The sequence below is a fragment of the Homo sapiens genome, chromosome 7 (assembly GCF_000001405.40).
Source record: "Homo sapiens chromosome 7, GRCh38.p14 Primary Assembly".
Taxonomy (NCBI): domain Eukaryota; kingdom Metazoa; phylum Chordata; class Mammalia; order Primates; family Hominidae; genus Homo; species Homo sapiens.
The window spans coordinates 65,615,824-65,641,594 of NC_000007.14; the positions used below are offsets into that span (position 1 = coordinate 65,615,824).

At 37.7% G+C, this 25,771-nt stretch overlaps 1 pseudogene, besides 1 other annotated feature; it reads left to right on the top strand.

Moving 5' to 3' along the window:
- LOC402279 (glutamate metabotropic receptor 8 pseudogene) lies at positions 1,254-3,331 on the top strand (annotated as a pseudogene).
- Positions 23,070-23,628: an enhancer, noted in NCBI's record as "NANOG hESC enhancer chr7:65103805-65104363 (GRCh37/hg19 assembly coordinates)". NCBI's record gives its function as "activates a minimal SCP1, AML or CMV promoter by ChIP-STARR-seq in primed H9 embryonic stem cells {active_cell/tissue: H9 hESC(primed)}" and the evidence as "EXISTENCE:reporter gene assay evidence [ECO:0000049][PMID:30033119]".

The following is a 25,771-nucleotide window of genomic DNA, read 5'->3' on the forward strand; positions in this document are numbered from 1 at the left end:
TGTCTACCATAGGCCATGATCCTGCTAGGTTTTTACATACTTTGGCCTCCACCAGACATGTTCCACTTTTGTCCCCATATGGATGCATATTTGCTCTTTAAAATTCAGCTCTCTCAAGCACTTTAGTTACTCCTTCTTCTGTGTTCTGATTGTATTGGGTATCCTATTAATTATATACTTTATTATCTATTCCATGGTAACTTATTCAAATGCCTGTTTCCCAGACTAGGTGGTAACTCCTGGATTAGACTGTGCATTTCCAATGTTGAGCCCAGTGTGTAGAATATAATGGCATCCAATAACAGTTGGATGACTGAGTGCATTGTCAATTGTTTGGAAGTAAAAATGCCTTTGCCTACTGAAGCAATGCTATAAATGGTGATTTAATTCTTAGCTGACTAAAAAAAAAAATACTGTTTATACCATAATGCAACTGAAACCTATTGCTAATATTGCTTTCTCATCTAGTTTCAGAATGTTATCTCTGTTTCACTGCAATTGGGGGAAACTCTTTCTTCTCCTCCTACCCCAGCCCAGAGGCAGAGATCTTTTCTATACTTTTCTCTTTTGTCCTTCATTGCCTAAGAAGGAGAGGCCAAAAGAACGGTTCTGTCTTTTTATTTGCAGTGAAAATGCGATGGTATTTCTGCCATATCGATTTTCATAGTGGAGATGTATGTCAATCCAAAGTTGGCATCTTTGGGGTTTGCCTGTGTCTTATATAGCCTTGAAGACCACTTGTCTCATAAGACATTGCTATGCTGATGCATGAGGATCTTGCTGCAGTTCTATTAGCTATACAATGAAATTAACTTTAAAAGAAGTCTACCAGTAAATAAAAGTAACAAAAGGACCGTGCTACTTAATAAGGGTCTCAACTATAAGACATACTCATACTTTTATTAATTCTGTCACTTGTCCTTTGGCTTATATTGCATAAATCAAAAGAGCCCTTCTTCTTTCCACCTTTTCACTCTCATCACACATCTTATACACCTTGGTTTTCTTAGCTATATCCACAAAAATAATGTTTAAATTTTGGGAAAGAAACCCATGTCTGATTAATAATTGTTGTCATTTATTTGGTGAATATATTATAATGCAAACAAACATAATTGCTCTTAATAGGTGAGAGTGACACAAAGTTTGAGAAATAATATTCATACAGAAGTATGTGCTTTTATAAAGTAGCTAATTGGGTTTGCTAATTAAATAAATGCTCTTTCTGAATCACCCCCTCCCTTCTTTTTTAAATGGATGGTGTTTGCATTGCTCAGTCCCAGAAAATCCCACGTGAACCAAGACCTGGAGAATTTGAAAAAATTATCAAATGCCTGCTAGAAACACCTAATGCTCGAGCAGTGATTATGTTTGCCAATGAGGATGACATCAGGTGCTGATTACTTTTCTTCTGTATGCAGGGTCAGATTTGTGTCCCATATCCTCTTTCTAACATATTTCATGTTCAACATAAAAGTTTGTAATTCCCTTCCAACAACAGACTGCTTTCTGCTGCCTTCTAGTTTGTAAATCTGAAATACGTACAGAGTAAAACTTGGGGACTAAATGAGATAAGACAAACAAAGGTGATAGACAGAATGATGTGAATGAGGTTAAGGATAAGGCTAATTAACATATGTTGGAGTTAGTCTCTGCTATATTGCTTTTAGGAGATGATAAGACTCGGGCAGTTAGAATGATTGTCTTAATTGTTAAACAGTGACCTACTGAGTGTATAAAACTTCCTAAAGCTGGTATTGTAATATTCATAATTGTGGTATTTTTAATACATGTGACATGCATTATTTATTTTTATTCCTACAGGAGGATATTGGAAGCAGCAAAAAAACTAAACCAAAGTGGCCATTTTCTCTGGATTGGCTCAGATAGTTGGGGATCCAAAATAGCACCTGTCTATCAGCAAGAGGAGATTGCAGAAGGGGCTGTGACAATTTTGCCCAAACGAGCATCAATTGATGGTAAGAATGCACCGTAGAGAATTTGTTTTATTCCACTTGGATCTGAACTCAAAGGCAAAACTGGAGTATCATAATATGAGGAAATGCACTCATTACTGATGACTTGATACAAATTTTAGCTTTGGTGGCAGAATTGTCAAGACCAGTATTTAAGCCAGCATGCATATGCATATATATATATATATATATATACACACACACACATATATATACATATATGTACACACATATATATACATAGATACACATATATATACACACATATATATACACATATATATACACACATATATATATGTATTTTGTGTGTGTGTGTGTGTGTGTGTGTGTGTGTGTGTATTTAGGAAAGAGGACCCATTATATTTTTTTAAGAAAAAGACCGTAGTCAGTTATTTCCATTATGTTAGTAATTGCACTTTGAGTTTGAGTTTGCATATTTCTGTGGGTATTTATGGTGGTTATAGCATTGTTGGAGGGAAATGCTTGATTTATAGAAAATGAATATATGATGCTGGGCTTATCCTATGGATAAATAAATGCAACAGGAAAGGCTTGGAGCATCCTGAAAGGCAGTCTGTCTTCTAAACATCTTTTCCAGTCGGTTTGACAGTAACTGAAATTCCCATCTTAACATTATCCTCTGGAGTAAGGCATTATTTCCAGGGGGTCTCCCTTCAATAAAGTAGTTACCTGAGTAAACCAACACTTGAGTTCATGACTCCATAAGATGACATTAACATGATTGTTTTATTGAATTAGCTGAAAACAACATATGGGAAGGAGAAATTTTGAAGTATGTGGAAACACAGGAAAGTCTGGAACATTGATCCATGCTAGGAAAGAGAAAAGAATGAGGGAAGTTTAAGTTGGGTTCTGAGTATTCAGGATTCAGCATGAAGTCACTGGTTGCTGCCTCTGGGAGAAGTAGAGTAGGAGAGGGTATAAGAAGGACGCTGACACCAGGCTTTCCTGTAGTACTTATTCACAGAGCCAGGTGCTTGAGTACTGGTGGTGGTGTGGGGGGATTGTCCATTGATCCTCCTTGACTTTTGCCATAAGAGAGGCCTTATTTATGGGCTACTGGCTTTCTCTCATTTGTTATGTGTTTTTTTTTCTTTTCATGCAGTGATCAGAATATAATGTCCATTTGAAAGTTCTGACAATATTTAATTTTGAAAGAATATTAAAATCATACCTTTCTCCTTTGAAATAGGATTTGATCAATACTTTAGAAGCCAAACTCTTGCCAATAATCGAAGAAATGTGTGGTTTGCAGAATTTTGGGAGGAGAATTTTGGCTGCAAGTTAGGATCACATGGGAAAAGGAACAGTCATATAAAGAAATGCACAGGTAACCACTCAAATGTTTCCTGTGGTGCATTTGTTTCATTTTCATTTGTTTTCATTACTTGATAAATTATGTTTTTCTATATGGACAATGATGAATGTATTTTCTATTTTTTGTGTCTTTTTGTTATAGTGTCTCAGGGCTCAGCATACACTGATCATTCAAAAAACTTAAATTTGTTTATTGGTTCTTTCAATTGATCAGCAAGTTTTTATTGAACATATACCATGCATACAGTACTGAGGTATCTGGGAAACATTTATTGTCTACTTTGGAAAATGTACTTTATTAGGTTTGATGGAATACAGACAAATAAGACATGGTATTGCTCTCCAGGGGTTCAAAATGTAATATGTATCATAATAAGTTGCTATAAGACAGTATTTTTCAACTATTTTAATCCCTGTCTCCTATAATACTATTATTTTCTTAAATCCTGCATAGCAGCTATCTTGGAACATGTATGATTTTTTGATGCTTTACTTTCCATAGCTTGTGCTTGAAAATAATAATGATATTGAATATGCATTTTTGAATATATGATTAAAACTATATTTATTTTCAGATGATTGTGCACATAGAAAAAAAACTCGCATAATTTTTTTTTTTGAGACAGAGTTTTGCTCTTTCACCCAGGGTGGAGAGCAGTGGCGCGATCTTGGCTCACTGCAACTCTGCCTTCTGGTTTCAAGCGATTCTCCTGCCTCAGCCTCCTGAGTAGCTGGGACTACAGGTGCATGCCACAACACCTGGCTAATTTTTGTATTTTTAGTAGAGATGGGGTTTCACCGTGTTGGCCAGGCTGGTCTCAAACTCCCGACCTCGTGATCCACCCACCTTGGCCTCCCAAAGTGCTGGGATTACAGGCGTGAGCCACCATGCCTGGCCCAAAACCACATAATTTTAAAAGTTACTTAGAAATGAGTAGTAAATTTAGCAAGGTTACAGATATGAGGTCAATATAAACATTCACTTTTAATGTACATATTAGAAACTAACACATAGAAAATGAAATTTAAAGAATACTGCTTATAGTAGGATCAAAAACATACAACATATATAAGGGTCAATTTTAACAAAAATGCGCAAATCCTTTACACTGAAAACTACACAACTTGAATGTGTGTTTTAGAAATGATTCATTCCTTCTTCTACCCCGCCACCCCCAGACTTTGATATGTCCTCCTTTCCCTCCTCCTCACTTTCTTTGGAAATAGCTGTTCAAATAAAAGATGTAATATACTAAAAGCTAGCACAGACGTATAAACAGAGACAGAACAAGGAGGTGGAAATGGGTGCCACGCTGTGGAAGAATCTGATTTCAGGCTTCCATGTGCCAGGCACTTTTCCAGGAGCTGGGTTGAGTGAAGAAAGGCAATATTCATGCTCACGGGGCTTACATTTGAGTGTGGGGAGATGGACACTCCATAATAAACATAAATGAACAGATGTGTTCAGATGCTGAGATGTGCTTAGAAGAAATACAACAGATTAACTGTGAAAGACTAACCTGGGTATTAGGAGGAGGAAGGTAATTAGACTGTGTGGTCCAAGTATGCCTCGCCAGAGGAGGTGACATTTGAGATAAGACCTGAGTGACAAGAAGTGATCAGTTGTGTAAAGATATGACGGGAGTGCATGACAAGCTCTAGCGCCAGAGTAAGGCTCTTTTGTTCAAAGTAAAGGAAAAAAAAAATAGTTCAGGGAGGTTGGAGCAAGAGTGAATATCGCGAGAGGAAGCGTGATGACAGCTGAGGCTTTGATGATAGTCTGGAGCCAGATCATGCACGGTCTTGAAGTTCTTTCCAGAAGTTCCAGAGTTGCGGAATTTGGGCTTTATTCTACCAGTAGGACACAATGTCTTGAGGCTCTTCATCTAGAGAATTGCTCAGACACTCGGTTCAAGAAGATTTGCCTGGCAGAAGTGTGAGGAGGATTGGGGTTCAGGGGAGAAAATGGAGGCAGGTCAATGAGGACTCATCCAGTATCCTGGGGACAGGCCGTCATGGTCTAAGAAGTGCTAACTAGGGGCCGGGCACGGTGGTACGGTGATGCACGCCTGTAATCCTAGCACTTTGGGAGGCCGAGGTGGGCGTATTGCCTGAGCTCAGGAGTTTGAATCCAGCCTGGGCAACATGGTGAAAACCCATCTCTACTAAAAATACAAAAAATTAGCCCGGCGTGGTGGCGGGCGCCTGTAGTCCCAGCTACTTGGGAGGCTGAGGCAGGAGAATTGCTTGAACCCGGGAGGTGGAGGTTGCAGTGAACCGAGATTGCACCACTGCACCCAGCCTGGGCGACAGAGTGAGACTCCATCTCCAAAAAAAAAAAAAAAAAAAAAAAGCTAGCTAGGGATGTAACACACAGGACAGACGCTCTGGTAGGTAGTGTTATGTTTATCTAACGCTATATAGTGTTGTATTTATATAACAACCAGCTGAGTGGTTGATGCTGGGGCGAAGATCGTTAAATCATGGAGGATGCTGATGTTAAACCTCTATCGGGGAGGTCTAGGAAAATGGTGATGTAATTAGTTAACAGAGGAAAAATAAAATAAATAGAATGGTTAGGTGTTTGGGAATAAACTTGAATTTTGTTCTGAGATAGCCCCGTGAAACTGGCCAGCAGGTGGCAGCATAAGGTCTGGGACCCCACAGACAGTTCACTAAAATTTGAGATTAGGAAGTCTTGGAGATTTTGAAGTTAAAGACAAAAGCAGAAATGCAATTGCCATGGGAGACTGAGAAAAGATGAGGAGTGATGACTGAGAATTCAAGGGCAGGAACCAGGAAAGGACACTGAGAATGCTGGGCTTGGGGGAAGGAGATGAACCGGGAGTCAAGGTTGTCTCAGTCTCCAGGAGAAAGACAGGTGCGTGAGGTTTCAGTGCTGCAGGGACTTGCAGCTGAGAGATAAGGGTGTGCCTGGGTAACCAAATTAGAGGGGTTGAGAGAGAACAGAATAGAAGTGGAGGAAGGGATGCTGTTTAAAGAAGTTTTGAGAGAAAGAAAGTAGATATGGTGGGAGAGCTTGAGAAAGAATTGGAGATTTCTTTAGGATAGGGCACGTTTAAGCATGTTTTCAAAAAAAAGAGAAGGGATAACTAGTGAAAGAGAATAAATGCAGAGTAGGATCTTGATGGAAACTTTAAGGAGAGGCATTAAAGACCAATGTTACCTTTAAATCATGTGATTTGGTTGGGGGATAAAAAGGTACACACAAACATATACTTAATCAGAGAGGAAAGTTCTATGATTAAATGCTAAATTTGGATATAGATAATTAGGGAAGTTCAGAAAATGTATGTAAGTTCACATTGTAAAATCCAAAGCTCTGTGGAGGAGATGAGTGTTTGATGACAAGAAGGATTTGGGAAAGACATCCAAGATGAGAAGAAATGGGGAGTCAGCAGGACAAAGGCATGGAGTAGGACGTGATGTGTAGGTGCGTGAACAGCAGTAAAAAGGTCCAGCTTCTTGGAGAGGAGGATACATGAATGGAAAATACAAAGTGGCAATTTATAGATGGGTTTGGAAGGAGAGTTAAGACACTTACATGCTTTCCACTGAGATATATTTTACACTATGCTTAACTTTGAGTTCTGAATGTTATTGTTTGATTCTCTTTAAATTCATTTCCTGTTATTTAGACTGTATTGGTGAAAATACCCCAGTTAATGAAATGGATGGACTCACACACACACACACACACACACACACACACACTGTTAACCAGTCACATAACTTTTTAATAGGCTGTTTTCAGAATAACCAGTTTCTCCAAACTCATATTTTCTTTCTTTTTTTTTTTTAACTCGTAAGTGGGAGTTGAACAATGAGAACATATGGACACAGGGAGGGGAACATCACAAGTGGGACCTGTCAGGGGGTTGAGGGCAAAAGGAGAGTGAAAATTAGGCCAAATACCTAATGCATGCGGGGCTTAAAACCTAGACGATGGGTTGATGGGCGCAGCAAACCACCATGGCACATGTGTACCTATGTAACAAACCTGCACGTTCTGCACATGCATCCCAGAGCTTAAAGTACAATAAAAAAAATCATATTTTCTAAGTTCAGCCGAGGTATGTAGCTGTTCCTTTAGCATCTGTAGATGGTATATGATTAGACTTTTATTTCAGGCACAAATACTGAACTGGTTTGTGGCCGAATCCAGATTCTGTGGCATCTCTGCCTCCAATTCCTTTGATTTAATTGGGTGTTGCTAAAATTATAACAATTTGTCCAATTAGAACTATTTCTAGTGCAGTGAAAATGGTGTTTACTCCAAGTGCTAGGGCAAATGCACCCCTAGGGAACTGGGTCAGTAAACAGATTTTCATGCAAATTCCATTGTGGGTGATACCAAAATAACTTGTCTCTGGGTGGAAAACAAATAACACTAATTTAATTTTTTTAAAAAGCAACATATGACAGTTTTCAGATGATGAGAGAAGATATTTGTCCCCCAAATTACCATTTTACCCAGTTTTCATTTCTGTTTTAGGGGAGAAGGGAAGATGATCTGGCATGTTAGTGGTCAAATGTACTTGAAAGGAAAAATTTACAGGATATTCACGAGTAGAGGTGTCCAGCGTTTGCAAAGTGCTTTAAAATGTGGCCGTAAAAAGTTTACATTTTAACTACCTGCAATGAGTCAAAAAGTTAAGACACTCTCTGAAAGTGAGATATCCATGACGCCCTTTTTGCTCATTCAGAACATCATTGGTAGGTTAGGTTATACGTGTTGAGTAACATTTTACATTAGGCAATGGTGATCTGCGAACGTAATTATTTGCTACCATTGGGGGCAAAATTGGCAATGTATTTACATGGATGAGAGAGTGCTTCCCAGCAGGGAGGGACTTCTGTCTTAGCAGTTTTCCAGAGATAGAACATCTTCAAGCAGTGAGGAGCATTTCTTCCTGAAATTTACTCAGTAGAAACAGTTTTCTTTGATAATTTTCCCCTCTAGAATCTCAGGAAAGCTTTCAAAAAGATGTGATATTACTGCTAACTTTTGATTTGCTGGCCAAATTCCAAGTGAGGTAATTCCTACCATCCACTTAGCTATTTATGTAGTTATTATTGCTTCTGAGAGCTGCTGAGTTCTGAAAGCTACTACTACTTAATCCTACTTAAAATTCCCTTTGTCTTTCTCTAGAAGAAAAAAGGACTCTTTTATACTTGTTATCAGTGGTGATGGGTGTTATTTTATAGACTTTTATCTGACCTCTCCCTCCCTCCCTCCCTCCCTTCCTCCCTCCCTCATTGTACTCTCAGGCTTAATGTCTTTCCACTCTCCAAAACCCAGACATCCACAGACTCTCTTGAGAATTGCATCTTCATACTCTCCCAGTCTTTACACATTTTTCACACACTTATTTCCCCACTCAGGCCTCTGCCACAATTCCTCTCCCTTCATTGCCTCATTTTTTCTCATTCATATCTTTTCTCTGATCAGTCCCTTACTTGACCTTGTTTTGTCCAGCAATATTCTCATTGGCAGTAGAGTCTTTCTTCAGAAGTTTTGCTTTACTTTTTAAATGACTGTCATTCTGATTTCTTGTCTTCTGTAGTGAGGACCCGATAGTGAATATTGCAGAGACCTGAGTATGTGGGTTAAGCTGCTAAACAAAAGCCAGCTCCCTCTGGACTCAGGCCGGGTCTTTTCCTTCCTGTCTCCATCACGAATTGTAAATAGCTCTGCGCTTATCGAAACGACATCCCTTGACTGACCCAGTAAATACAGTTGATTCCATATCCTATCTTAAAACCTTCCTTTGTTTCATTCATCCATCCATTCATTCATTATTCATTTAGTTGTTTATACATTTTGAAGCTCCCCATGTGCCAGGCACTGTGCTTCAGATAGAGAGACAAACAACAGACCTCCCTTGCTCTCAAGGAGCTCACAAAGACATATACACTGTCTTGTGGAATTTGAGGTGTTTTCTTTGCTGGGTTTTAATTCTCAGCCAGGAGGCTGGGGCACTGCTGCTTAGCCTGCATACAGCTGACACTCAGATACAAAATAGTGGTGAGCATATGCTATGCAAAATGGCCTATTGATTCTTATTTATGATGATAGAAATAGCGGTAATGCAAAAAGCAATGCACAAATATGTTTCTTCCCACAAACAAGCAATCCTGTCAGTGAACCAAATAGCAGGCTCAATAATTAGCTCCCTGAAAGACCTGTCAGTTTATTTTCTGGTGCTAGATTAACTATGTAACTCTTCAGGTATAACTACCTCTCAGCAGTCCTCTGTTTGTTTTGTGAAGTTATGAAAGGTATAAGCTCTCCCGTATTCACTCAGGACACATAGAGACCATATGAAGGAAGTAGGTAGTCATCAAGGGGGATGAATTTACATAATTGGATTTGGTGATTCAGAGTGAAAGATAACCCAGGTAGGTTCCCCTGAATTAAAATGTGTTCTGCCTTCCCCATTTGTCCCCTTGCCTAGAGTAAAACTCTGTTGGGGAGAATGCCTTTACGTTAGCACTATGAGGTAGGCATCCATATGCTCTTGTTCTTCGCAAGTAAAATAGCAGAAATCCAAGGATGACTTATTTATGCTGTTTCTGAGATTTCATGGTGAATTTCAATAGATCCATCTGAGATGACAAAACAGGCATTGATTTCAGACATACTAGATTTCAGAATTTAGAGCTGGGATGTAAAATAAGAATCAATCTCTTGTTTTCTAGTGAAGAAACTAGAACCCAGAGAAGTAAAGTGAATTACTGACAAATCACAGTGTTAATCTCAGAGCTGCAGCCAGGATCCTGGTTTCTTTTATTTGGATTTGTCCTTGACATTTATATCCTCCATTTATTATTTACTTATATTAGACATTTTACCACATAGTTGAAAAATATTTTCCTGTTTTGCTCTTTATGATACTTTATGTGTGATGGAATACATTTTGGAATTTTAATCACCAACTATAAAGTGAAGCAAAAATAACATATTGGTTATTACCTAATCCTTTATAAAGTAGTAAATATTTTAATATTCTTCACATTGATTTTCATTTATACATGTAGTTTTTGCTAGTGGGTCTTGAACAGCATAAACCTTTACATCCAGTTCCCTGGCCTCTTGCCTTGTATAAGAGTAGACCTATGACTACATTAAGCAAAAAACAAAATAGGAGAAACTATCAACTAGAAGTTTCTATAACTCTAAGTCCAATGACATTGAATTATAGCAGTTCACGTTGCTAAATTATAGTTAGTTTACTCATTTATTCATTCTCTTAAAGAAAAAATCTATTTTAAAGCAATATGGGCAGCACTATGTCTAACAGCATTTCTAGAATGTTAGCATGCACACAAATCACTTGAGTACCTTGTTAACATGCAGATTTTGATTTTGTAACTCTGGAGGTAGGCATTCTGCATTTCTGACCAGTTCCAGGTGACATGGATCCTGGTGAGCTCTAGGGTATGCTTTGAGTAACAGAGAATATTAGAGTTAGTTTATAATGATAACCATAGCACCTGAAGCTAAATTAGCAAAATAAACATTCAACTGTGCTAAAGGTTACTGATAAACTCAAGCTGTCTTACAGAAGACCGTCTAAACAAGACTTGATCTATACATTATCAATGCAAAAACATGCAATAAGTAGCCAGCTTTATATACTTACTCGAGTATGTATTCAAATCAGTAAAGTATAATGACAGAGTAATATGTATATGTGTGTGTGTGCGTGTTTTTCTCATTAGTAAATTTGAAAGTGGGAAGCTTAATTACTAAATTACTAAATCTAAAGAAACATACACAGATGCACCTGTATCTTCAAAGTCTGCAAAGCAGATTGTAAAGTTTGCCATGTCAGAAACAAAAAATATTCTGAACACTTAGAAAACTGTACTGTCAATCGTAAATACACATAGAGTGGAGGAGTTGAAGAGGTCCTTAGAGATTATTTAGCTCAGTTTCCTCACTTTGCAGAAAGGGAAATTGAGGCTCCTCTGGTCAGGTTGGTTGTCTAAAGCCCTGTAGCTACCTAACGATGATAGGACTGAAGTCTGATTTGATATTTGCTTCTTTCCTTCATCCTTTCCTGCTCTGAAGAACTTTACCAAAGTGGGGCTCAGTTGCACTGACCCATTCTACTATTTTTCCTGGTATATGGGCCTGTATGTTTTTTTGTTGGCCACCTAAGGTTAAGTATTCCCTCTTTGTGAAGCGCCTGACTTCTAAGGGAGTCAGATTGATACATTTGGTCTGAGAAACTAGCATGTTTAGAAGGGAAGCAATTCTAGTTAAAATTTCGAGTACGTAACTGCTCACATTTTTTCAGACAATAATTTAAAACAAAAATGCTCATCCTACAGAGAGAAAAAATGAATTCAGGAGTCTAGGAAATCCTTTCTGCAAAACCCACAACAGAAGCTGGCATTAGCTTGATTGATTGGAAGATGAATGTATCTGAATAAACACAATCTCTGGAATATTACACTGAAGAACTCAGAAATGGAAAAGAGTGTATAGGCAAACAGGTGACAGTTCAGCATTTTTGATCACCAATTATTTGAAAAACTATGGTAAGGCTCGGGCCAGAGAGGATGAGAAAGTTTAGAAAAATACAGAAACATCAGGATAAATTGTCTTCCTTTAAATGGCTATTAAACTTCAGTTGAAGGAACCAATTCATTAAAACCAAACAAAATTTTAAAAAGGAACAATGTATAGATGATTCAATATCAGGAAAACTTGATTTCTCCTCTTTTCTAAAAATGATACAAAGCAGATAAATACAGGAGACTATTTATATTTCAAAAATAGTATTTATTCTCTGTGTTTTATCTTGGGATTCTTTTTAACTCAGAGGATTTGAGAGAGTCTCATAGATATGATTTGCTGAAATACAAGAGAATTACCACAAACTCTTAGGAACATAGCTAAACAAAAGAACTAGCTGAACAAAGGATTGGATACAGTAGGGCAAAGGAGACATAAAGTATGATTAGAGCTTACTAAGGCTAATTGAGAAATCAAGACTACCGAAGAGTCTTGATTATTTTTTGATTACTTATGACATTTGTTAAACTCTATATTGTGCTAAACATCTGCCCTCAAGGAGCTTATCTTTTGTGGGAAAGATAATAGTCAGACAATAGTTTCTAAGTTGCTAGTAAGCAGGGTCTGTATCCTCAAGACTTAGCATATGCTTAGCATTATATATCTGTTAAGTTAATTAATTGGTCTATAATGTATGGCCAGATAGTCACCCTGTTCTTCATCATAGTGATGTAGATATGATGCATGGTGCCTAGCTTGGCATGCATTTGATAAATATTTTAATTGTTGGAATGATATTTTTTAATAAAAGAAAAAGCTCAACATAGTTATAAAAGGGCTTTTACTGTAATTTAAGAAGAAAATGTACTATTCTGATAGTTTGTCTTTAAATTCCTGACTGCGATGCTAATTTAAATGGGAATATGATTCTAGAAACACATATAGGCCTGTGTCCTATAAAATCAGTCAAATTTTATTGGAATATTTGGTTACCTGAATATTTAACTGGAATATTTGGTTACCTGAATATTTAATTGGAATATTTGGTTACTTCATTATAAATGCCATGACTCCATAGTGTTTTGTTTTTCTAAAAAAATAAAATTACATTTATACTATTTGAGGGAAAGCACTTTATTTCCACACTACCTCTAATGAGGTAACAGAATAATGAAAAGACAACTTGGAGTACATAATGAAAATGTCATTTAAAAAGGTTTCATTTATACAATTTTAAAAATGTAAAAAATTCATGTCCTTTGCCCACTTTTTGATGGGGTTGTTTGTTTTTTCCTTGTAAATTTGTTTGAACAGACACTTCTCAAAAGAAGACATTTATGCAGCCAAAAAACACATGAAAAAATGCTCACCATCACTGGCCATCAGAGAAATGCAAATCAAAACCACAGTGAGATACCATCTCACACCAGTTAGAATGGCGATCATTAAAAAGTCAGGAAACAACAGGTGCTGGAGAGGATGTGGAGAAATAGGAACACTTTTACACTGTTGGTGGAACTGTAAACTAGTTCAACCATTGTGGAAGTCAGTGTGGCGATTCCTCAGGGATCTAGAACTAGAAATACCATTTGACCCAGCCATCCCATTACTGGGTATATACCCAAAGGACTATAAATCATGCTGCTATAAAGACACATGAACACGTATGTTTATTGCGGCACTATTCACAATAGCAAAGACTTGGAACCAAACCAAATGTCCAACAATGATAGACTGGATTAAGAAAATGTGGCACATATACACCATGGAATACTATGCAGCCATAAAAAATGATGAGTTCATGTCCTTTGTAGGGACATGGATGAAATTGGAAATCATCATTCTCAGTAAACTATCGCAAGAACAAAAAACCAAACACCGCATGTTCTCACTCATAGGTGGGAATTGAACAATGAGAACACATGGACACAGGAAGAGGAACATCACACTCTGGGGACTGTTGTGGGGTGGGGGAAGCGGGGAGGGATAGCATTAGGAGATATACCTAATGTAAATGACGAGTTAATGGGTGCAGCACACCAGCATGGCACATGTATACATATGTAACTAAACTGCACATTGTGCACATGTACCCTAAAACTTAAAGTATAATAATAATAAAAATAAATAAATAAAAAGTAAAAATAAAAATGTAAAAAGTTATACAAATATTAAAACTATATTTATTTATACAATTTAAGCATTTTCTAAAAAATTATTAGTTTATTAGGGTTTTTTGTTTGGTTTTTTTTTGTTTGTTTGTTTGTTTTGTTTTTTTTTTACCTTGCAAGAACATGAGCTTCATGTAGGAAGAGATTTTGTTTCATTCACAGCTGCATCTCAGTGCCTTGGGTGGCATCTGGCACAAACAGGCTTCCTTAAAATATTTGTGGAATAAATGAAAGAATTAAATTCAGCTTATTTTCTGCTCTTTGTCAAGCACTAGCTATTAGATGTCAAGGACATGTTCGTGAGCAAAACGAAAATGGTTATTGTCCTCATGGGGCTTATAGTCTAATTGGGAAGGTGAATAATTTAGCACAGTTCCTGCAATGCAATGTGTTATGTTAACTGAATAGTCAGCATATAGCAGGGAGAACTGATGTAGCCTAAGGGAGAAGATGGGTGTCATTGAAGTTGAGACTAAAATATGAGCAGAATTAAGAAAAAGAGGTTATCAGTAGTAGTATTGTTTTAACCAGAGGGTGGCACAAAGAGCAGTGGGCAAGAGAAAGGATGGCAGTTGTAGAGACTAGGAGAGGGGGATAGTAGGAGAGTAAGGATAGAGACCTAGGCAAGGGACAGATCATATAAGACTTTATATGCCTCAAGAGGCAGTTGAAAAATGTTTTGAAAGTCAATGAATGGGCACCAGAAGGTTTTAAGCAGAATAATAGAATCACCATCTTAGAAAGATTATTCTGGCTGTAGTATGGATAATGTATTGGTGAGGCATAACACTGGAGGAAGGGAGACCCATGAGATACTACAGTAATTTTCCAGAAATGATAGTGGCCCAGCCTATGATGGTTGCACTGTACTAGGAATGGACAGAAGTAGATGGACATATTAATAAAAAGACATTTTAGGGATATATGTAGGGCTTGGCAATTAATTGGATGTTTAAGGAGAGGACAAATCAAGGATGATGCCTTGATTCTTGGCATGGGAAATTCGGTCATTGATTGAAAGAGCATTCCTGATATAATGAATGATTGGGGAAGAGGGGGAAGGAGGATGATGAATTTTGTGGGATATACTGAGTTTAAGGAGCCTATGAGATATACAGCTGCAGATGTCTGGGAAAGGTTAGTTGGTTATGTGAGTCTGAAGCTAAGAATACAAGGTCTTGCTGAGACAGAGAATTGGGGCCTCACTAGTATATTAATGGGACTTGGTGAGACAGATTCAGAAAGTATGTGGGGTGGAAATTGCAGAGGGCCTGAGATAGAGCCTTGAGGACTCAGAAATGTGTTGAAGGAGAGGACCCTGGCATTCCAGTTTCTCTAGAAATCGTTTTCCCTGTCCATAAGTGGAGCCCCTCCGGCCATGTCTCTATTCTACAACCCTGATCCTCTCCCTGGTGTCTCTTCAGCCACAACTGATTGATTTAACACTGAGCTCTTCACTAAAGCTAAATTATCAGAGTCCTTCCGAGTAATATCTAAAATGGGAGTGAAAGGAGGAGGATCATTCTCTCTCAGGGGGTGGGAGGCAGTAGTTTGAGGCTGTGAGATATGAGGCTGGGAAGTTTCCACCACAAGGGGGAAGCTGACCTGGAAGAATAATACTGACTTGTGCAACAGAATAAAGGTGGCAGATGGAAAGAGTTCTGATGGTGATGAGGACCTTAACCAGGCTTTTCTTGTAGATATGTGAGATAGTTCAAGGTTCTCCTAATTATGTTTTCCCATTTTTAGCTAGCAACCTAGAGTCCAGACTAGTACATTATAATAATAGTTGCCTCATAGAGCGGTTGGGAAGTTAAAGGAAATAATATGCATAAAGATTATTGCCTGCTACATAGGGAATATAACAGATACTGTTGCCTACTGATTTAACAACTTCCTTTTCTTTGAAGCCAGCACTGTCTAATAGAACTTTCTGAGGTGAAGAAGATTTTTCCATATCTGCATTGTTTAATAGAGCAGCCATTAGTGACATGTGGCTATTGGTCACTTGATGGAATATGGCTAGTGCAAACTGAAAAAATTGAATTTCAAATTGTATTTAACTTTAATTACTTTACACTTAAATGTAAATGTAACTTTGATTTCTTTACATTTAAATGTGGCTAATGACTATCATATTGGACAGCAGAAGTCTAGGGTGATAGACCTAAAGAACAACAATTTTTAAAGCCATTTTGGATTGGATTTTCTATCATTTGCAGCTGCAAGCATCCTAACTAATACTATGTATTAAAAATAAGTGGAAATGATTTATTTAACATGGCATGAACATCCCTCATTTTAAGATGATATTAAAGAATTAAATTTTTGTTTTTATATAGAAATTCTGAATTAAGTCAGAAGGTGAATGTTTGCCATACACACAAATTATTAAAGTAATTTCTCACAGGTTTCCTAAATACCAACTTCTCAGTCAGTGAATATAAAATGTGACTCGATTTATTAAAATTAAAATGATATACAGCTTTTCAACAACATTTCATTCAGATATATTTCTACATAAGTTGCAGAATTATAAAACACACATACTAGAGATTGTCCCTAACTTTATCAAAATAATTCTCCTTTGGGTTCCTTTAACAACATGCCCTCTAGTCTACCAAAATATTATTTTACAGATGGTGGGGGTGTGCTACTTGCAACCCAGACAGACAATAATTCAGCTAAGCATTTTTCTTTGCAGTAAGTGAAAATCTGTTCAAAGTGCTGGAAGTTTTATCAACTGGACCATAAGACCCAAGAGGAACTAAGTGTTTCTGTTACGCTTTCTGTGTTTAATAATTCCCAGCCTTGTTAGTAGACACTCAAACACTGCATCCTAGCTGTGGAATCTTGGGTAGGTAACATAGTCTCTGAGAAATTTTGATAAATGCTAATTTTCCGTGTTTTTAGATTTTGGTGGTGAGACTGGTGGTTGCTACCTCTATGCCTGTCTTTCACAAAGGTCACTCAAATTGCTCTGGTTTCTTTTTATGTTACCAAAATGCTCTATAGCTAAACTATTGAGCTTAAATGTCAAACTTGCATTATGTTTAGAAATGGGTACTTATCTCTTTATGCACCTTTCCCTTACACCCCAACGGTGGGCCGACACAGGATATGGTAGAGGAGTTAGTATTCTGACAAATAGGTGATGTCATTCCACCCATGTATCACTTTCCATTAAATCTTCGACCCGTATATAACCTTTAGCTGCAGGTTTGTTTGCTTACATCACTGTGATCAAATGGTTAGAACTGTAGATTTTCATTTGGGAAAATGATGATTATTTTTTATTAAGGACATTATTGCTGGTTTGAATTATCCTTTTGTTCATGGTTCATGCACAACAAAGCTTTCCCTAGCCCTTCTGTGGGAGGTGGAAAGATGCTCTACACCTGCCTCCTACCCAGATCTTTTTCAGAAAGAAAATAGACAGTGCTAGCTAAGCCGTTGGATGGGAGCAATATTCAGTTCTTTGCCAAGAGAGATCCTAGACTCCGGATACGCCAATTCAGCAAACCTCAGGGAGACTATCTAAAACTGAAAAAGGGCTCAAGAATCCATCAGAATATGAGATAATTTAAATAAAATTTGAATCCTACTCGCCAACAGAGAACCAGAGGACATTAGAGAAGGAAGGAAACTTGGAGGTCATCGTGTCCGATATTTTGCTGAGCGTCACCTCTCTGGCTGATGTAAAATGAGGACAGGGAGTACATAGAAACATTTCGGTTTTTCTGATTCAGTAGTACTCTTGAAGGCCGTTATTGGTGGTGCAAAATGAGGCTTTCTCATTGACTCTAAATAGGCTTATTAGCAGCACACAGAAGGATTTCCACTGTGATCTTTTCTTTGTCCCTAGTCAGAGTGAAGGCATAGGTCTGAAGCAGGCTGATAGCTTTGGAAGTGAAAAGTACTGGCAGGCTGAGGGCACAGAACGGGCTGGCTGCCAGTGTTGGGTTCAGCACCCTGAGGAGTGTCATTTGTCGGAGCCACTTTTATGAAACAGAAGCCCTCTTTTGTGTATTTGTACCTGTGAAAGGGAGCAGTGGTATAGCTGATCCAAAGTAGCAGAAAAACAAACAATTCATATTGACTTAGGATGCTCACCTACCCCCTCTTTTGCAGGAGTGTTAGTTTGCGTGTCAGTACATGGCCAGCCTCCTTGGATTCTGGCATGATGCTTTCCATAGGGGTTTCATTAATTGGTGCAAAAGTTTATTTCAGTAGAGTCCAGGAAACTGTTAGCTTTTTGTTCTCTGCCTAATGACAGAAAATGTCCCTGTGACTGATTTCTTTGTGGGACCAGTCTGCATCATTCCTAAGACTGACACAAAGCCCCGCTCGAGCGTGTGGGATGAACGGCATGACTCACACATTCCCCTGGAGGACTGCAGGTTTGATTAAATGTTTAAATGACATTTTAGGACAGATGATTATGAGGATGGGCAAACAATTTGTTCTTTTAATTCTTAATAACTTCAGTGTGTATTTGGGCGGGGAGGTATATGTAGACAGTTTGGAGGAGTGTGAACAAGAGACTTGGGTAATCACTGGAGATAAGGGTGATGATGATGATAATTTGATATAAATAAGCAGAGAGTAAGATTTGTCAAAAAGGGGCAAACTCATTGCTGTTCTCAATATCTCCCTTCTTTCACTTCAAACACAGACACTCACAGCATGTTCTGTTTCTGATAACTTCCTAATCACACAGGAGCTCCAGGATTTCTGAAGGACCACAGCCCTGTGGCCAAAAATCTTTTTTCCTTGACTGTTCTCTGGGCAGCTCAGTAGTATCTTTAACATGGCAAATATAAAGATAGTAGATTCACTACAAGGACACTTCGAGAAAAATACTACCTGCCTTTGTAAACCATACACAGTCTTATTATTCAATTTGTCTTTATGGAAGCTATCAGTTAGCTACAGGTTTCCTTTCCTATGTCTGATGTACCTATCTCTAGTTGATTCTTTCTCTCTAACTCTAGTTCTTGAAACACTCTCTGCTGGTTTGATTTTCGGGTGCATTCATCCTCTTTTCAGATTCCAGAATGAAAACTTCCTTTTTGAGACACCCAGATAGACTACCTCTTCCTTAGTCCACCTGGCCCTTATCCACATCCCTTGAATGAGTTTTCTTTGTCTGGACACATTTCTGAAGTAATGCTTCTCTGCACTCCCAAAATATAGCTCTTCCTTCTTTCGGCCTTTTGCTGTGTTTTATTACATTATTTCATTGCCACTCAGAATAAGCACTAGACAGACGTCTAAGGTTTAACTTTACATTTTATATATTTTATTATATCAAAAACTGGTCACATATAAACTATAGTACTTGGGAATTGAGGGTATTTCTTGAGTATTACAAGAAAGTATTACTTTCTTGAGAAGATATTACTCAAAAATATATACATTTTGGATAAAGAAATTTTGATAGTATAAGATGAATTAGCAATGATGCTTTTCAGAAAACACGTATGCAGTAACTTCATTTATATGACCATGTTATTAATCGGTAGGCATTAATGGATTTATGTAGCCTGTTCAGAAATTAATGAAGCCTGTTTATTCTGTGGATTTTGTTATTAGCTCCTTCCCTCTTCTTTTGTCTTCTTGGCATCACTGTTGACATCACTGATGGGAATCCCACTACTGCAGCCATTGCAAGTGTTTTTGGTGATTATTATCCACTTAGGCACCTTTGTGCACTGGATCTCTGATCAAATTATTTTGAAATTTTAATATGAAATACATAGGAGAAAAAATTGAAAATGTGTAGAAGTAGGCAAGCTTTTCTTTGTTAAAAAAGCGTAATTTAATAGAGTAAGAGGTGTGAAATATGTCAGGAATTTTACTAACATAAAATTTCATCATTTGTCCAGTTGTGTACTTAATGGATTCATGTTAAGTATACAGTAATTCCTGGCAATAATGTGGGGCAGCTCAGATTTACTTTTCAGTGCATGTTAGTATGTAAAGTGACCCCTATCTTCAATATCTCTATGTTTTAACACCTGCTGTGTTTTTACAATAGAGGCCCTTGTTTGGAACAAAGCCACTTAAGTTAAGCTGAACATCATTGTACCTGCACAGTTACCTGGGTTATCTGTGGTTGTGATGAAAATTACACCACCATAATCACCCCAGGCTACTTACAAGCCACCTTCACAGAAATGATACTGTGCCAAGTGCCACAAAGAATATCAAAATGCAGCCCCTGCTTCAGGCACTTATGTTTCCAAGGGGAAAAAGAAACTGGCCTTTGGATTTAGATAAGAAACTTTATTGTGATTACAAATTGGATTTCCTGTCTTTATTTCAGGAAAGTTGTAGAAGATAGCTAGAATTGCCCTTTCTCTCACCCCCGGAGGGTTTGAAACCATTCTTGAATGAGTAAATGTATTCAAAAATTTAAAATTAAATCAGATTTGTTATATGGAATCATTTAAACCTAATTTCTTAATTAAAGGCATTTTAAGTTCACTTTCTGTTCCTTAGGTGTAAACACCTCAAGCTACAAAAAACAAGAATAGATTCCACTGCTGGGGTGAAAAGCCACGACTTTTCTTCCTGTGTTCTGTTTCCCAGGCCTATCAAAGATATTTAAGTACTGAGTTAGGTCTGGCCAGGGAACTCCCCTGACTTCTTTAGGGGCACAGATGATAGGGAAGAAAAGAGTAGACCGTGGGGTTAGTCTTGGATTGATTTCTATACTCCCCTTTGATGTTGATAGCTGCTTCCTGTTAGGAACTTCTGTTGGAAGCATACTTCTTACCTGAAGAAAGTTCTGAGTTGAGACAGTTCTACCTTGACTTATTTACCAAGGCTCCTAAACCATATAGCACATCACTATGAATACATTCAGGGTGGGGGCAATGGATCCTACCCAGATCCCTGTAAAGCCAGCGTGGTTCTGCAACCATCATTCACGGATAAGGACCAAGACTGAGCTGCTCTGGTTGAAGAAGCTGTTGGATGATACGGGGTTTGTGCCACAGTGTGGTGAATTCATTTTCCATGATATGCTGGGCTCACTCTCAGCAAGGCCAGCTGAAAGCTGAGTCTGCTTTGGATGCAGAGGTACGTAGTCAGTGGCTGTGCACAGGACGGGACTTTGGGATGTACAGGAGGATATATTATCCTTACAAATACTTCCTTCACCTGTTTGCCGATGAGCAAGACTCCAGGAATAGGATACAAGGCCCCTAACTTGTCTTAACTCTCTGATTAGGTCAGATCTCCCTACTGTATGCCCATAGTGCACCATACTCATTTTAGCTTTTATTACAGTTACAGTTGTACATTTATTTGTGGGGTTGTTTGATGGATATTTATCTCTTATTAAATTGTAAGCTCCATGAAGATAAGGAGCATATCTTTTTGCTTATCTTTGTGGCCACTGCGCCTGTCACATAGAAGGCACTGGATAATCCTTTGTTAAATGAATAACTAGACCTAAAAAATACTTCAAGGTAGGTGATGCAGTCATTAAGTTCACACTACAATGAAAGACAGTTCTTCCCAACAGGACATTATATGTTTTTTCTACTGTCATTTCTATTTGCTAAATTGACTTTGAGTTTGAGAAATTGGGCTATGACGCAATATGTGCATAAAATGTTCAACAAATACTGTGTTCCATTTTTTTAAAGCAAGGATAAGGATGAAAAAAATAAAACGATGAAAGAGTTTATTTAAGCTACTGATATCCAGTTGTTGGTTGAAAAAATATGTGGCTGTTTGCATTTTGTTTAGCCACAGAACTCCCATATAAACATTTCTATCTTTGACAAAGGTTTACGCAATTGATCTGGCTGCTCATTTTTCCCCCTTGATTTCCTTTTTTTAATTCACAGGTGAATGACATTTAGTTCTTGGTTGTGGAAAATGCTCTTAATGCCTCCATCTTTTAAGGAGATGTTCCTATAGCTCAGTTACTTTGAATATAGTTTTTTGTTTTCTTTTTAATTTATGGCATCAGCAAGTGATTTACACCATAGTGTTAACCAGTGCTCCTGAGGATGCTGATTTTAGCAGAATCCTAGGGAACTAACAGAAAAAAATCACAGCTAATTTTAGTATTTGTAGGGCCTTGTGACAGATATATCCGAATACTATTATTCACCCTTAATAACTTCTTGCTAAGTTATCTGTATTGTCTCCTGTCTAATTTTATTTCTTTCCTGAATACACATATTTTATACATCTGATATTTCAGAAAATGTGCTTAAAAAATGTCTATTTTTCCATTTCTCCATTGATTATCAGTTTATCTAATCTGTGTATCATCCATCTCTAAACCTAATTTTTGAATACATATACAACCAATAGACGTGGGATATACCAACAATATAATTGCATGATAGTCTTAGTTAAAAAGTTTAGTCTGTCTCTGTGAATTTGATTGTTCTGCTTTGCATGATTCTGGCTGAGTCCTTTCATCTGGTGCTGGTTTTTGAATACATATTAGGCTGCTTCCAATCCATCTGAAATGCAGTCTCATGAGAACATAGGTCTACAATCTAAAAAAATATACTTTGATTATTCTTGATACATATAACAATAGCTATTTTTATAGAGTTAGAAGGAATATTAGAGATTATTTATCTTATATCCCTTTTTTACAGATTGAAAAGCTGGAATCAATTGGAGTAAGTAACTTACAAAAGGGACAAAGAAAAGAACCAGGATGAGAAATTCCATATGTCTTCTTATCATACAATTCAATCCTGTGAATTGTTGATTATTTGCTTTACTACTCTAAATGACTTATGCATGTCATTTTATTTGTCTTTCTACCATCAAAATAGAAGAAGGCCTATTTCTTCTTCTTCTACCAGTTGCAGAGTTAAAATGAGGCTGAACATTCTCTTGTAAATTCAGGGTGTTTACCTAGCCCAGGAAAATCAGTCCTAAGCAGACAAAGGAGACTTGGAATGATTTATCTAAACACCTAAATTAGTTACATCATTATTTATCTGCGAAGCTTCTTGAGTTTTGTTATCATACTCTGGATGGAGGCCAATCAGAAATGACCCTTAAGATCTGACTCTGTCTAGCCAGTCTCCCCTTGACCAAGGAGAACATCTGGGCATGAACTGTAGTTTTCATTGTCCTCTGACCAACTCAGATTAGAAACAGCTACCTGAGGCCAGCCTTTAGTTCTATTTTGATCAAACTGTCTTATAGACACAGCCTTCAGCCTTCCCCATGACCTTTGAAAACTGCCCCAGGGTAAAGGCGAATTACAAATACTATTAAGGTTGATGAGTAATCAACTCAGTAATGAGGATACTATTTCACATTCTTAGGGGTAGATGCTTTTTCTCTGTGGGATGCCTGAGTAGGAAATTTTGATGGCTCCAAATGTGGCCACAACAAACATCAGGAGGCTCTGCTATTGTAGAGATTTCCCTGAAACTGAACTCTGGAGGATGAAACATTTGGTGTAGATACTTGACCTTCTGAAAATAAAGCTTTATGTATGTGTGTATCTATCTATTATTCTCATAGCAGCAATTAGTCTGAAATCTAATGCCTTGTCAGTGAACATAACAATTTTTGTAAATGTTCTCCTCTTAGCTTTTAAGGTTTTTTTTAGCGATGAGTCAAATTTTACTCAGATTTTTATAGGTTATCCCTAGTATTCTTGTTTCTTGTTATTGAAGATATTCAAATGTTAATATATGGTAATAAGAAGTAGCTCAAAAAGAGCAGAATGACCTCTTCCTTACCCCCTTAGTGATACAGACAAATAGAGTATTTGTTCATGTTATATTTTGGCTTTTATTTTTAAATCAAGGAGGTTGAATTAGAGACAGAGCAAAATAAGCAAAAACCTGAAGCTATAAATTTCTAGGTCAATCCAAATACATAAAGCATTAAAAAATGTCAGATGCGAAGCTAGATGCAAACTGACAGGGAAAAAAAAAAACCTCTTTGTGTACTTAAAGCCCCAAACCAAAAGCAAAATTAAAATTTGTGCTGACCCTTCTCCCTTGGGGCTGCAGATGTCACTGCTGTCCAGGGCGCCGTCTGTTACTGAGTGGAAGGAAGAGGAATGGCATCCAAGTCACTAGTGTAAAATAAATCATCTGCCTGCCAAATCCTGAAGATGTCCTGCCATATTTGTTAAGGCCAGGGGATGGAGGGTAGAGGTGAGCAACAAAGGTGACCATTAACACTCATTGATTCTTGTCTTTTATGACTCATTCTTTTATTATTACATGTTTTGTAAGAGGTTTTATACTTATACATATATAATTTTTATTTAGTCAGTCACAGCAGTAGTTACAATTTATTTAGCACTTATGGGACAAGATATTTTATACACATTTTTTCACTGGATGTCCAGGACTATTATACAAACTGAGTATTACTCTTATATTAAAGGTAAGGAAATAGCTTCTAACTAAGCAAAGTTGCTCAAAGTGGCACATAGAGTGAGGTCTGCGGCTGTTCTCTTACTCCAAATGTGGGGTATCTCAGAAATTGCCATCCTCCAGAAGGCTACAGTCTAGCTCAGACTGTGCAAATTGTTCTCCATTTGCCATGCCCCCATGCACTCAACACTATTCCATGTCTTCCGTGTGCTCTGGGAAGCTGACCCTTGTCATTTGCATGACTGGGACTCTCTGCTCTCTGTGTTTGTCTTGGGTGGGGCCTATGGAAGGCTTTAGCAGGATATTGGAGGGCAGGAAGAGAAAGAAGTCAGGGTATTTCTTCTTCAGGTCCTACTTCGGCCCTGTGCGCTGGCCGTGATCATGTCCTTTCAGGATATAACTCCCTTCGCCCTGTTCTCCTCTGTACCTCTTCTGATGCAGGGCTCCTAAGGAAACACTGCTCCTTTTCCTTGACTGTTTATCCCTAGGGGTAGTATTATATTCTCACCATTGCTATCCTTTGGGTGCCCTGCCACCTTGTTTGCTCCTTAAGTCTGTCTACAATTAATGCAAATAACTCCTTTATTAAAATCTCTTTATTTGAACACTCTGGGATGAATTCTGTTTTTTTCTGGGACCCTGACTAATACAGAGGCTGATACTACACCCATATGAAAATACATCAAAGATAATTTGCAAAGCATGTTTGAAAGCTCTACGTTAGGATCACTAGCACTGGCATGCCAAAAGGCACAGAAAAGAAAATACAGGGCATAGCAAAATATTGTTTCTTCTTAATAGAGAAACTGCCTCAGGGAGAGACTAGGCTGGTGAGAAGGGGGAAAGACTTTAAGAGTCTTATAGACCAGGCATTAGAGAATTGTGATAGGTTTTTGAGCCTGTGATAAAAGCTGTGTTTGGGGAAGATTTTTCTAGCAACCATTTGTAGGAGCAGTGGAATTAGGAAAAAAGGGTGACAGTAAGGAGAACAGTTAAAAGGCTTTTAAAATAAGCCAGTGTAAAGTGATTGGAGGCAGGTTCACAAAGTGGCAACAAGTATGAAAAATAAGGAATGAAATAAATAGTGAAAGAAACATTATTACTATTGGAATTTGCATTCTTGCTCATGTGATGCATTTGCTTCAAATTGGTGTAAGCTCTTCACATGCAGAGGGCTCATGTGCCTTGATGTAACATTAGATCAAGTGGCAGAAGCTAAATTTGGAATTAAGGCAATATTTGGTTGTAGGGAACATCATTCTCGTTTCTAGCTCTTGGACTTTATGTGGAAGCACTTTAAGTCCTAAGAGGCTAATTTTAGTTCAATCTATTTAGTTAACAATATTT